Below are 15,382 nucleotides of genomic sequence, written 5' to 3' on the forward strand. Positions count from 1 at the left end.
AACATAAAAATTTTCGGCAACACAAATATTATAACATTCCACTTCTGGACTCCCAAATTTTATGCTCTTCATACATGCAAAATGCATTCATTTCATCCCACTAGGCTCAAAAGTCCTAACTCGTTCCATTATCAACTTAAAAGTTTGACGTATTATCTAAATATTTTCTAACTCAGATATGGGTGGGACTTAAGGTATCTTTAATTTTGATGCAAATTGATCTTGAGTTGTAAAACTCTGAAATTAAACATGTTGTATAAGATGGGCAAAAAAATAGGCACTGTCATTCCAAAAGAGAGAAACAAACAACAAAAAAAGAAATGACAGATCTCAAGCAGATCTAAAACCTAACATTCAATCTTAACAATTAAGAATAATCTTATCTGACTATCTTCTTTGGCTTGATGCTCTGCCTTTGGCCCACTAATGGCTGTAGATCCACTTTCAGGCCCACTGCAGTGGAGACCCTGGACCTACAGCTTCTGTGTAGGAGTAGGGCTCATGGTTTTGCTGAGTGAAGGCCACATCACAGCTCTCACAGGTTGGAGTAACATGCCTACAACTTTTCCATGCTGGAATTACTTGCTGAGAGCTCTACAGATTTGAGGTCCTGGAAGTGGCCCTGCCACCACAGCTCCACTGGGAATAGCACTTGCAGCATTATGGCCTGCTGGAGCCACCCCTGGGGCAGTGGAGGAACACGGCTGTAAAGGGTAAGAAGTGAAGCCCATGATGTGAAGCAGGGCTGGGCAGCAGCTTCCTCTCTGTTGTAATTCTTCAGCTCTTGATACCCCCTTCTTTGTATCAATTTTTTAGTCCATTCAGGCTGTTATAACCATATATGCCCAAACTGGGTAGTTTATGGACAACAAAAATTTATTTGCACATTTCTGGAGCAGTCCAACATCATGGCACCACCAGAATGGTGTCTGGTGAGGGACAGTTCCTCATAGACAGTGCTTTATTGCTTTGTCTTCACATGATGGAAAGGGTGAGGGGTCTGTCTCATGCATTGTTTATAGGAACACTAATCCCATTCATGAGGATTCCACCCCCATGACCTAATCACCACTGAAATTTCCCACCTCTTAGTACTATTATTTTAAGTAATACGTAGGATTTCAACATATGAATTTTAGAGGAATACAAACCTTCAGATTACAGCAGTTTCCCATCTCTATATCTATACCTCTTTAATGAGAGGCAGCAGTCAATGATCAGAACACAGATCCCTGATTTTGGGGGAACAGAGTCCTTATTGCCCACTGTGGCTCCTGCAAGCTATGCAAGCTGCTCCAGGAACATGTGTGCAGCCACTTACCATGGGGTATGGGTGCAGAGGATGATGAGGGCTGTAAACTAAGAGCTGAAATTGACTGAATTAACCACAATTTTATATCCAAACGTTCCCTTAGAAGTTGCAAAGCATCAATAGACTCCATGGTTCCAAAATAGTTATATCAGACAAACTGCCAGTGCAATTACTTTCTATGTGGTTAAACAGATTCCTGGTACTTCCTACTCTTCCATCTTCCCAGGACTCTGTTGCTTCTTTTTCCCTTTTTTACCTTAGAACATCATGCTCAGTTAACCAACTTCACAAATTACTGTGGATCAAGCTTTTTTGGCTGTCCATTTTGTTATAGTAATTATGACATCTTGACTTCTGATGATTAAGCATTAGCACTTGACACTCATTAATTTGAAGCCCTGTCAACTCCATCAATATTAATGAGCCTAGCTCTTCATTGCTTTACCTACCATCAGGCAGGACCGGTGGAGGAAAACCGCCAATCTTCCTAGCAACACTATCACCCATCTCACCAACACAATTCTGGTGGACTTCCTGAATGGTGTATCTTCTGAGCCCCCTCATGGAACATAAATTTTGTTGCATCACAGTTGACTATCAAGTGAGACTACCATTTATTGCTTAGAGAGAGGGAAAGTACAGTTCCTCAAAAAGAAGTTAATTAAATGTTGAGATTATTTTTAAAACTCATGACAGACTACAGATTTAAATCAAAAGCATTTTTGTTTGCATAGCACAACACTATGAAAGAGAAGATTCACTTCAGAATTTTAAAACTTGGCCCAGTGTATTCTGATCAAAGCTTGAGTGCACTGACACATAACCTTATATCATAGTATATAAGGTTAAAAAAAGATAATATAATGGCATAAACATTTGTTTCATCCTACAGTGGCCAACCAAGAAGGTATTTTGTGATTTAATATGACTGGGAAATGAGAGCAAGTGTAAGTCCCTGCTGCCTATCGTCCTCTTAGGAAACAAACCAAAGAGAATTAATACAAACCCCTAGATAATTCTGGAAATGTGAGAGGAGGTTTATTTCATATTATTGATTTGAGTTTCTGGCAAGAGGCAATTTCCAGTTACCCATACCAAATATCATTACCACAATATTATAATGAAGACAGAGAATTAGATACCCAAACTCATCTTACGCCTTCAAATATTCTTTCTGCTTCTACAGGGTAGGGAGAATATAAAAAAAACATATCCAAATGAAGCATAAAATACTACTCAGAGTTGAGAGTTAGATGCTTGTCAGGGAGTGTTAGTAGCAAAACGTGAAGAAGCTGTAGACTTGAGAATGTGAAATAGATGGGCAAAGTGGGAGCTGATCAATGGTAAGTATGGGACTCAGAGACCAGTAGTGGCAGCAATAGCTGAGGTTGGAAGCTGAGTCAATAGGAATAGATTACTTAATTCTTCATATTTAACACCATGGATTGTTTATGTTAAAAGGAGAGAGATAGTGATCACTACTCACTATACATATCTGCCACAATACCTGCGGCATAATGTATCGTGTTCACAATACATATATGCCACAATACCTGTCAATGTTGAAAGAACATAAGAACAATGAACAAGAAAATGCTGAATTTAACTAAGCCCCTATCTAGTCATAGATCTGAATCTAATAGTTAAAATACTTGGTTGAGGTGAATTGGCAAGATCGAATTGTTATTAGAAATGGGGTTTTTTGTAGAGTAAAATTTTATAAAATTTCATATTTGTGCAATTCTATAGTCTACAAAACATTGCTTCACATGTTTAGCAAAAGATATATGAAATGGAAACAGTCTGTTGTTGATTTTAAACACTGCCTATACTATTGAAAGAGAGAAAACTAGCTTTCGAGAGATACTTTTACTAAAATGCTACAAAAGCTAATTTAATATTATATTTTTATTAAAATATACATAACATATAAAGTAAATGCTATATCACTGGCTACAGTAGAATAGCTTGTGGCAGAACATTATTGCTGGTAAGAACTAGAAAAGTAAGAAGAAAAAAATAGAGGGAGAGAAGAAAGGAGGGAAGTAAAGAAGAGGTAAGGAAGGAAGGAAGCAGAGAAGGAGGGAAAGAGGGCAGGAGGGAAGGAGGGAAGGTGGGAAGGAGGGAAGGAAGGAAGGAAGGAACGAAGCAAGTGAGGGAGGGGAAGGGAAGAAAAGAAGGAAGGCAGGTAGGCCAAGCGCATGTTTTGAGGGCACCTAAGAGCTACTGAGGCAACCAGGACTTGAAAGCCTAGAGCAAAGGAAATAAGGAAATATAAATGTGAATCAAAATTTTCTGAGTAGCTGTCCCCACATGGATTGTGCTTAATTTTGAGTAAGGTATATGTCTGAAAACTCTGAAATAATATCACACTTAAAATATGGAAAAGCCAACAAAATTTAGGAAAAGATCATAGTGCTGATGTCAAAAATGGATTTTAGACATTTTCAGGTAACAGCACTGGAGGGGACATGATCCAGAAAGAGAGAAGTGAGGAACCTGTCTCAGCAAGTTTTTCCCCTCAAAGCATTAGCTGATTTCTTAATGTGCTGAGAGCCAGACATTAAGAACGAAAGCAAAAAGTCAATAAAAAGCACACCAGAATTTTTGCAGTCTCACATTGCTGAGAAGATAAAAATTGGAGTTCAGCACTTATACACTGTTGGTTGGAATGAAAATTAGTCTAGCCACTGTGAAAAGCAGACTGGAGATTTCTCAAAGACCTTAAAACAGAGCTACAATTTGACCCAGCAATCCCATACCTATGTATATAGCCAAAAGAAAATAAATCATTCTACCAAAACACATATGCTCTCCTATGTTCGTTGCTGCACTATTCACAGTGGCAAAGACATGAAATCAACCCGGGTGCCCATAAAAGGTAAATGTAATAAAGAAAATGTTGTACATATACACCATGGGTTACTATACGGTCATAAAAAACAAATAAAATCACATCCTTTCCAGCAACATGGATGAAGCTGGAGGCCATAATTCTAAACAATTTGATGCAGGAACAGAAAACCAAATACTTTGCATGTTGTCATTTATAAGGGGGAGCTAAACATGGAGCACATACGAACATAAATGTGGAAACAATAGACGCTGTGGACTACCAAATGGTGGAGGGAGAGGCTGGGTTAAGAAATCTTCCATTAGCTACTATGCTCACTACGTGAGTGTGGGATCCATATTCCAAACCTCAGCATCATGCAGTATTCCCTTGTAACAAATCTACACATGCACTTCCTGTATCTAAAATAAAAGTAGGAAAAAAAATGGAGTTCAGGACCTGTCAAAAAGGAAGGCCTCTACTAACTATGCCAAATTCCACTTGGGACCTAGTGAGACTTAATCTTAAGAATATCAAGAAATGTGAAGGGACTAAGATTTTACCTGATAAGGAAGCCTGCTATAGTTTCACAGATGCTGCCAGAATACATGAGACTCCTGAATTAGAGACAAAACTTTATTACTCACAGCACAGCAGACAGTGCATTAGCTTTGGTTACTATTTCCCTGTAAGTCACATAGGAGCAATATAAAATCAGGTGCAGGGAGACGAAACAGTGTGTCTATGCCACAAGTGAGAATTATTAAGCTTAGAGTGCTGCCAGTCTTCTAAGGGACTTAATGGCAAACTTGCCTAACTTTTGCCTTTAAGTGAAATAGTGCCAATATTATTCTGAGCAGAAAAAAACAACAAATAAGCAAACAAAACATCTACTGATTTTTAGCCTGGCGAGAAAAACTAACTTTATCTTCCAGGACTATTTTCTACACAAACATACTTAAAAATACAGTTTGGAAGAAAACTGTCATTAGACATGCAGAAATGCCATGGAGTGAAACAGAAGTAAACTGATCCTTACAAAACTGACAAGGCAAGTTCAAGGCAGGTCAGTCTCTGACTGTACTAAGATGATGTCCCCCAACACAGGCCACCTATTAAAAAATAAGATGACCTCTCACTGGAGAAAGAAAGCATAATCTGGCAACATGCAATTTTTTATACAAAATGTCTAGAGTGAAGATTATCAGGCATACAATTAGACCAGAAGAAAAAAAGAACCATAGATACAGATCTAAAAATGACCTCGTTTTTATATTTAAAGCCAATATTGCACAGTACAAACTTTTCGCTTTCATTGTTTTGTTTAAATATCCCGGTTACTTTTGATTTATAGAATGCAAATGAGGAATCACAGTAATTTATTAGTTGGCAATTTTCTTCCTTTGGGTAAATATTTATGTTTGTTATATGTTTGTTATGCCTTGTTATATTTATTTAAAACTAAAAAAAATTATCTAAGGTATGAATGAAATAGTCTTTATATACATAGTATACACATTTTGGGAAACTCCTTTCTTTTTTTTTTTTTGAGATGGAGTCTTGCTCTGTCTCCCAGGTTGCAGTGCAGAGGCACGATCTCTGCTCACTGCACCCTCTACCTCCCAGGTTAAAGCTATTCTCTGCCTCAGCCTCCCAAGTAGCTGGGACTATAGGCACCCACCACCACACCCGGCTAATTTTTGTATTTTTAGTAGAGATGAGGTTTCACTATGTTGGCCAGGCTGGTCTTGAACTCCTGACCTCGTGATCCACATGCCTCGGACTCCCAAAGTGCTGGGATTACAGGTGTGAGCCAGTGCACTAGGCCTTGGGAAACTCCTTTCTAGGCAGACAATATCAGCAATTAAGCTTATTATCTATTCTGAAAGTATTAATTTAAAAAATATAAGTTCACCATATAGGAAATATTATATTAAATGTAAATGTTGAAAGCTATCATAACAGAAACACTAAATGCAAAAAACTGCCTTTGGTATTTTGAAAGATAAAAAGAATAACATGCTTTCCAAGAGATTGTATTATTTTATAAATGTCACAAAATATATGTAAACAAAAAAAATCATGCATGTGGGAAAATACCAATAGGTTAACAAAGGAAGAAGAAAACTTGAAAATATTGAAAGGCATATTTTAAGATGACATGAATTTAAATATTTATTATGATTATAAACATAAAGTGATAAAATTCAATAGTAAAATATTAAAAGTTAGATTGAGCTAAAAAGTCTTTTTTCTGTCTGTGTGGGCTCTTGTAGGCCTAAATTAAAATTCCTATCTACATCAGAGTTTTAAATATCTTTAAGAACTAAGTTTTCCTGTACCCACCATGTACGCAGTACTTGTCCTGGGTGTCTCCAATTCTAAACTCTAGGCTCACATTTTGCCAAGGTGAAAGAAGGGCCCACAATTATCTCTTGGCCAAAATTACCATATATATTCATTGTAATTCCAATTTTACCTGCAAGAATATAAATTTGAGGTATGGATATTTCATAATGCATAAGTAAAATTGCTAAATTCTATTTGGGACATTTAAAAAAGCATATCAGCAATTACAACTGTATAAATGGAATCAATTTATCTACATTCAAAGTGTGTATGTTCCCTTCCAATAGACAATCAAGCAAACAGACATCTGATTAATTATTCCTGGTGGATGTTAAGGTAATTATTTATTATTTTCAAAACTCAAATAAAGAAAAAAGCAAGAATTTTCATTGCCTTCTTTAACAAAATATGTGAAAGTAGGGCAGGCATTTAGCGAGGAAACAGGACATGATTACTTGCAGGTGGCTCAAAGCAATACAAATAGGACCAAACACATTATCACAAAGACATGTCCCCTACTAGCAAAGAACTGTTGCAACAGGTTATAACAATGAAGACAGATTATAGATATCTTGTTTAGGCACAAATAAGAATATCCTAACAAAGAAAAAACTGCTAGTAGATAAATCCACAAGTGGTTAAATCCAAGATGGCTGAAAACTTGACTAGCTGCTGACCCTTGACTGCATTATGCTCCCATTACCATAATATTTCCATGGGGAAACCTCCTATTCCCATCATACACCTGGTGCCATAACAGTTTCAGATTAAACATATTTAGTAAGAAAAAAAGGATGGCACTGATTCTGGGAATTGCCCAATCAATTCCCAGAAAAGCCCTCCCTTTATTATAGAAAATTATCTGCCTTCATTATGCTAAAAGAAGGAATTAGTGTGTCCGGAATTGGTGGGTTCTTTGTCTCACTGACTTCAATAAAAAAAAAAAAAAGAGATACCATTTAACATTTGAAAGGTGGTTGCATGCAAACATTTAAAACTTGAGAGAACATGGTGCACCAGGGAGACTACTATTATGACTATCAGGAGGACAATATCAAGAGTTTGAATTATGCTCCTTGGCCAGGGTCCCCATAAACCAAATCACCTAAAATTAAATAGATCAAGGAACGAGCTGGATAAAGAGTCTGCTCGCTTTAACTAAGTAGACTGTTAATCCCCTACGAATGAATCTCTATCATACCTAATGTGATGTATTTTTCCATGGAAAACTAGTGCCAGTAGCTGCACAGATACTTCTCTGTTTAGCTAGTAAGTAATCTAGAGCAATTCTATTATTTAGAATAACTTTCACAAGACAATTTAAAGTCTGTTGTGCACCCATAGCCTTTATAGTAAAATCTGCTACAGAGCCTATTACGAGGCTAAATTTTTAATCATTGTCTCCTTTACTCCAAACTATGAGAAAGAAAAGACCTAAAAAACGGTTCCCTTTTAGAAGAGTAAAGACCTCCTGGAAACGTTCTCTTTAACCCATGTCTCTTTAACAGACAAATGTCTATTTCTTACTGATTATGAGACAGTGTGCGTACCAACAAAATATCTCACCTCCATTAGGCCTTCATCTTCCATCTATTAAGTCATAGAGTTATCCATGTATAAGGCTGGCTGTAAGAATCTTTACAAATAAAAGTATACCTTATAAGTCTGCACAACAGAGCTCCTTTCATTCCTATTGTTCATAGAGGCATAAGCAAGGGTAAAAACGGAAAGATAAGAGTATTATGATAGTGGAGAAATCTTGATCTTTATCTTGAGAAAAAGCTGTTCACATTAAGGATGCCTTGTTCTGTGGAAAAACTTTCCTGGTTAGCTTTACCTTAAGGTTTCCAATGGGTGTACTGTTCCAAGAGTGTGGAGAGACACTTCTGAGTTGTTAGATTATGAACCCAAGGTTCAAGGTCCTGAAGTTTTTCTGCAGTATGGATGGCAAGGGTAGTCTTTCTCTGATGTTCTCAGAAGATTCAATCTTCAGGTTCTCAGTTGTGAAGAGGGTTGATTGTCTTCAGTCAGTAAAACTTGAAAAGCTTTCTTTACCTGGTGAAAATACACTGTGTTATAATGAGCTACTGTTAAAACATCAGCCCTCTTGCATGAAAAAGCTTTTATACAACCAGAAGATATGCACTGAAAATGACTGAATGAAATCCTTCTATAAATATTTAAATGGTCCATCAGGTAGTGGAATGTACCTGAAGTTTTAATTATCTTCTCGGGAATATGGGTTTGACAAACCAAACATTGGTCATAAAGTACTTTAGCAATTTAGAAGTCACCATTCATATATATATATAAAGCTTTTCATATGTGTGTGTGTGTGTGTGTGTGTGTGTGTGTGTGTATAGCTCAAAGCTTTTAATAACAAAAGCTTTAAGGACTCAGAAAAGACAAGGCAGTCATCCTGGTTCTCATGAGTTCATGCTTAACATTGGACTTATGTCCTCTTGAATACCAGTTGTTTCTCCAATTAAGGTATGTAACACTGATGACTGATAGGTTATCATAGGTAATTTGACTTAGACCACGGAGTTCATTCAAATTGTATATCTAAACAATTTCATTATTGGTTGATTTACCATGAAAATCTGGGAAAGTATTTTCTTGTTATTCAATTAATTTTTTTTTTTCTGCTTGGGTTAGCAGTTTTATCAACCAGTCAGACTTTTCATTACAGTTTCAGGAATTCTTACCCAGTCCAAATGATATGATGCTAAAGTTATCAAATACCTGTATTCAAGGTTGCTTTTCAGGGTTCCTTTTATCCTTTCATGAACCTCCTTAAAGACATTGTATTCTTTTTTTTTTTTTTTTTTTTGAGATGGAGTCTTGCTTTGTCACCAGGATGGAGCGCAGTGGCATGATCTCGGCTCACTGCAACCTCCACCTCCTGGGTTCAAATGATTCTCCTGCCTCAGCCTCCCAAGTAGCTGGGACTACAGGCACATGCCACCACACCCAGCTAAGTTTTGTATTTTTAGTAGAGATGTGGTTACACCATGTTGACCAAGATGGTCTGAATCTCTTGACCTCCTGATCCGCTTGCTTCAGCCTCCCAAAATGCTGGGATTACAGGCGTGAGCCACCACACCTGGCCTATTTTAGGATTTAACATGCTTATGAAGGTTTCAGAAACATCAGAATTAAGCAATTAACTGTGGGATTGACTTTCAATAGTCAAAGACACAATTGACAAGAAAATTTGGTTATTTTTGTGGTCTACAATAACTTAATCACGTAATTATGATTGATAGCCTATACTCAGACATATTAGCATTTTAAAAATCTCATAGAATTTTGGATCATATTTTAATAACATTCATTAAAATATAACCTGAAGATTAAACATTATTTATTATTTGACAATGCTTCCCATTTAACTTAACACATCAAATCATCCTGTTTACCTCTCTTTTGGATGATTCAGGGGCCCTCTGCAGCATCCCAAATGTAGAGGTCAAAAATAATTAGTTTTGAAGCTGAAATTTGATTTTGAAAAGACTGTGTCAATTATGTCAAAGGTTTAAAACACTTGAACAAAAAAGGATCACAGATCACTGTAAAACAACAGTCATTCATTTAACAAGAGTGATAATGAAAAGATTTTTAAAAACAAAAACCTATAATGGACATAGAGTTTTCCAAATAATCAAAAGCCATAAGACAGCATGATGATACAGAATCTCTCTCTTCTTCTTTCCTCTCTTTTGCAGTTTGCTCAAAAGATGAATAAAAATATTTTGATGTGTCTTATTAATATTACATAAAATTTTTGTGCAAAATAGAAAACTGAATTTTGCTTTGTATTAGTGTATTATGAATATTAAAACTAATGTTAATAAAACCTCATAACTTTATTCAATTTGTCATTTTTAACCACACTAAAATTCTATAAACCTTTCACTTTACATTTTTCCTCAACTTCCTATATTCATCTTATTTTATCTGTTTTTTACTCCAGTGTGAAATCTTTAAGTAAATTTAAACCAGAAAAACACATTTTATGCCTTCATTACTTTCCTAATCAAATATATATTTTGCTTTTGTTTGTATACTCTGTATACAGAATTGTTTTTCTTATATCTAATAGTTTTAAACTCTTAGTAACTCTAATTTCTATTGAGAACACTAGAAAGTAATTTTTAACTGTTTTATATTTATGTTTGTAGATGAAAACAATTTTATAATTCTTTTAGAAAAATAATTCTTCAAATTATTGTTTATTAGCAGATCTAAATATATTTAGCTTTTCTTTTCCATATGAATATAAATTTCAAGGAATATAGAGCTAAACTAATATTTAATAATTAATATTTCAGTATCTTAACTTACAGATGACTCAGATTTAAGTGATTATCTATTACTTAATTTAATATAACATGACCGTAAGATTTTATTTATTTATTTATTTTTATTTTTATTTTTTGAGATGGAGTCTTGCTCTGTTGCCCAGGCTGGAGTGCAGTGGCACGATCTCGGCTCACTGAAACCTCCGCCTCCTGAGTTCAAGCACTTCTGCCTCAGCCTCCCAAGTAGCTAGGATTACAAGTGTGTGCCACCATGCCCAGCTAATTTTTGTATTTTTAGTAGAGATGGGATTTCACCATGTTGGCCGGCTGGTCTCAGACTCCTGTCCTCAGATAATCCGCCAACCTTGGCCTCCCAAAGTGCTGGGATTACAGGTGTGAGCCACTGCACCCAGACTATGACTTTAAGATCTTAAATTACAGAAAACGATTTTGAAGCCTTGACACTGGTAGCTTCCTTAATGTTTCCTCCCAGTAATTCTAGGTCCCAGATAGCCACATGTCACCCAGGATGACTTGAATGTAAAGGCCTAAGTCCATTAGGACAGAAGACAAAGCTGTGAAGACTACACATGGAGGATCTAAAACAGCCAGGAGACGAAACAGGGAAAGCAGAGGGAAAAAGGACCATTCTGGCTTGCAGGTGCTTGCACTAAGAACATGTCTCCAGACCTCATCATGGCCACCTATCCAGACCCCTGAATCCAGAGACTCTAAACCAAAGACAAAAACTTATAGTCAAATAAAACAAGTATCAAATTATATTTGGCTGATAATTTAGAAACCATTTCTATTATACCAACATTTTAAAAACTAGCTTTAAAAAGAGCCAAAATAGCCAGTGCAATTCTAAGCAAAAAGAAAAAACTGGAGACATCATGCCACCCAACTTCAAACTATACTACAGGTATATAATAACTAAAACAGCATGGTACTGATTCAAAAACAGACACACAGACCAATGGAACAGATTAGAGAACCCAGAAATAAGACCACACATCTACTACAACTATCTGATCTTTGACAAATCTAACAACAAGTAATGAGAAAAAGATTCCCTGTTCAATAAATAGTGCTGGGATAACTGGCTAGCCATATGCAAAAGATTGAAACTGGACCCTTTCCTTACACTATATATAAAAATTAACTTAAGATGAATTAAAACTTAAATGTAAAACCTAAACCTATAAAAACCCTGGAAGACAACCTAAACAATACCATTCAGGACACAGGCACAGGCATATACCTCATGACAAAGATGCCAAAAACTATTGCAAGGAAAGGAAAAATTGCCAAGTGGAATCTAATTAAACTAAAGGGCTTCTGCACAGCAAAAGAAACTATCAACAGAGTAAATAGACAACCTACAGAATGGGAGAAAATATTTGAAACTATGCTTCTGACAAAGGTCTAATAACCAGAATTTATAAGGAACTTAAACAAATTTACAAGAAAAAAAATGTACAAAAGTAGGCAAAGGACATGAACAGACAGACACTTTTCAAAAGAAGACATACATGCAGCCAAGGAGCATATGAAGAAAAGCTCAACATCACTAATCATTAGAGCAATGCAAACCCAAACCACTATGAGATACCTTATTATATCAGTCAGAATGACTATTATTAAAAAGTGAAAAAAATAACAGATTCTGGTGAGATTGTGGAGAATAAGGAACTTTTATACACTGTTGGTGGGAGTGTAAATGAGTTCAGCCATTGTGGGAGATAGTACGGTGATTCCTCAAAGACCTAAAGACAGAACTAGAGGTTGATCCAGCAATCCCATTACTGGGTACATACCCAAAGGAATATAAATTGATCTATTATAAAGACACTTGCATAAATACGTTCAACACAACACTATTCACAATAGCACGACATGGAATCAACCTAAAAAATGCCCATCAACAATAGACTGGATAAAGAAAATGTGGTATGTATACACTGTGGAATATTATGCAGCCATAAAAAAGAACAAGATCATATCCTTTGCAGGGATATGGATAGAGGTGGAGGCCATTATCCTTAGCAAACTAACTCAGGAACAGAAAACCAAATACTGCATGTTCTCACTTACAAATGGAAGCTAAATGATGAGAACACATGGAAACATAGAGGGAAAAAATAAACAATGGGACCTTCAGATGGTAGACAGTGGGAGGATGGAGAGAATCAGGAAAAATACCTAATGGGTACTAGGCTTAATACCTATATAATGAGATAATCTGCACATGAAACCCCCATGACACAAGTTTACCTATGTAAGAAACCTGTGCTGTATCCCTGAACTTAAAAGTTAAAATAAAATAAAATATCCCTCAATAAAAAAAGAACAATAAAAACTAATTTTATTTACCAAATATCACATACATAAGACACTATAGACATAAAATACACAGAAGCAGACCTTATGGTCTTATAAAATATTTTTATTTACTGGCTTTTAAATAGATTTTCTTTTCCCCATTTGGTCTATCACTCTTCGAATTACCAGTTTCATTGCCCTAAGCAATTGTTAACTAGGCAACAAATTTGCGTTTCTAAAGATACAACCCTTAGGTGGAACAAAACAAATTATTTTTTATAAGCACAGAGCTAAGATTCTAGGCCTAAATATTGTATCATCATTTTCTCAAACCAAGGAAATAAAACTTGCTGAAATAAAAGTTCACTTAAGGCAAGATGGCCAGAAGAGTTATGACTTCTTATGTAAGTTAAAAAGAATGATAAAACTTTCTAATGTACATAGGCAGACATACATCTATAAAGGAAGTCTCAAATTTTTAAGGGTATTTATTTCACAAAAGAATTTCCAATTACATTTCAGAATAAAAAAGGAATAGTCAATTAAATTACAGAAAAATTTATTTTAGTTTAATAGGGTGTTTTTAAGCTAAAATCACCTGAGTTCAGGTTACTGGGTGGAGCCCACTAAGGAATAGGACCAACAAAGCATTGTATGCCTGGACTCAGCATGGATAGATCCGAAAAAGGAGCACATTTATTTTACATTTTATAAACACCTTATCTAGGATAGCCTTCTTTCTGCCTTTGGGGCAGGATAGTAACTAAGCCAAAAGTTTAGCAGGTTTAATTAGTCTCATCAATTACTTGCTTAAGCTTTTCATTTGCCTTTTACAAAGTCTTTACATAAAAATATTGAAATCTTTTTAGAAGCTTCTGTATATAAATAGGCCTCCCTAGATGAGATTAATTTGGGAGCCCTTATTTTCAAATGCACTTCAGTGCAGTGTTGGTCATTTGGAACATTGCTCTGTAACTTATCTTTAGTATGATTTCACCATTTTTGTAATACTTTGCTGCCTTTGGGGCCTAATATTTATACATATGCTGGATGGTATTTAGTCCTTCATAAATTAAGGATCCCATTTTTACCTCAAATATTGGCTTTGGCTCTGAGGTTTCATTGATCAAGTTAGCCAATGGTTTTATTCCCTACCCAAACACAAGAGAAAAATAAAGAGGTAGAACACAAAAATTTCTGCGAATATCCAAAAGCCAAATTTTACAACCTCAGCAATATTGCCATTTACTATCAGGTTCTTTCTGACCCAGTCAGATATAAAGGGCCTCAAACTGGATTCAAGCCAGTTAATTATCAGATCCAATCTGACCCTGGACCCAGTTCAGTTTCTCCTGCAACTTCCAAACCCAGTTTGGATCAGAAATTTGTTCAAAGAAAGTCAGAAAGCTCAAAATGAAAATCCACGGAGCTTCGGAATCCGAGAGTGAATTTACCACAATCCTCTGCTGCTCCAAGAGAGAAATGGACACAATGGGCCTGATGGGTACCTCTCTTGGTCACTCAGCGCTTCTGGGGCTCATTAGAAGCTCTATTTCAGATCCTATTTCTGATGCCATCTGTTAAAAGAAAAGCTTTAGGCAATTTAAATTTAACAGAGTTTAATTCAGCAAAGAACAATTTGAGAATTGAGCAGCCTCCCATGATGTACAGAAAATGGAACTGAGGTACAGAAACAGCTGGATTGGTTACAGCTTGATGTCTACCTTATTTGAACATGGTTTGAACAGCTGGCTACCTTTGATTGGCCAAAACTTGGTAATTGGCACAAGAGCAGGCTACAGTCTGTATACAACTTTGTTTAGGTTATAGTTCATGATGTACAGAGAAACCTTTAGGCCAAACATCAAATATGTAAGAAATCAGCTTTAGGCTAAATTTGATCTAACAAGTTACATTAATTACTAGTTATAGATTAGTGCTACTAAGTTCTATTTTGACATTATAAATTTGGAAGTAATTTTTACCCTTAAACTAATAGCTAACATGCTAAAAAATTTAAGGTTAATTAATAATTACATATACATATGATTTAATGAATGTAAACACTTCACTAAAATTTAATAAACATTTGAAAAATAATCAACATCACTATGATAGAGTATTAAAAATACTTCCCTCTGGTTACTGAATATGTAATGGGAATTGAAATCAGATATTTTATTATTAAATTCTGTCCTATCAATTTTCCAATGTCTTTTATAATACTTATCACATTTAGGCTGTGCCAACCTAGCTCAT

At 35.7% G+C, this 15,382-nt stretch overlaps 1 long non-coding RNA gene across 2 annotated transcripts in view; it reads right to left on the reverse strand.

Annotated features, from left to right (window-relative positions):
- The window catches only part of LOC102724419 (uncharacterized), a 169,359-nt gene that overhangs the window by 37,863 nt on the left and 116,114 nt on the right, over positions 1-15,382 (reverse strand). Inside the window, exon 3 of one of the 2 annotated variants that reach the window (XR_001740997.2) lies at positions 8,332-8,549. This is a non-coding gene — a long non-coding RNA (uncharacterized LOC102724419). Of the gene's footprint in view, positions 1-5,677; positions 8,550-15,382 lie in introns of those variants that run through there. The other variant, XR_007096283.1, reaches the window with a different exon arrangement.

The sequence above is a fragment of the Homo sapiens genome, chromosome 3 (assembly GCF_000001405.40).
Source record: "Homo sapiens chromosome 3, GRCh38.p14 Primary Assembly".
In the NCBI taxonomy this organism is placed as follows: domain Eukaryota; kingdom Metazoa; phylum Chordata; class Mammalia; order Primates; family Hominidae; genus Homo; species Homo sapiens.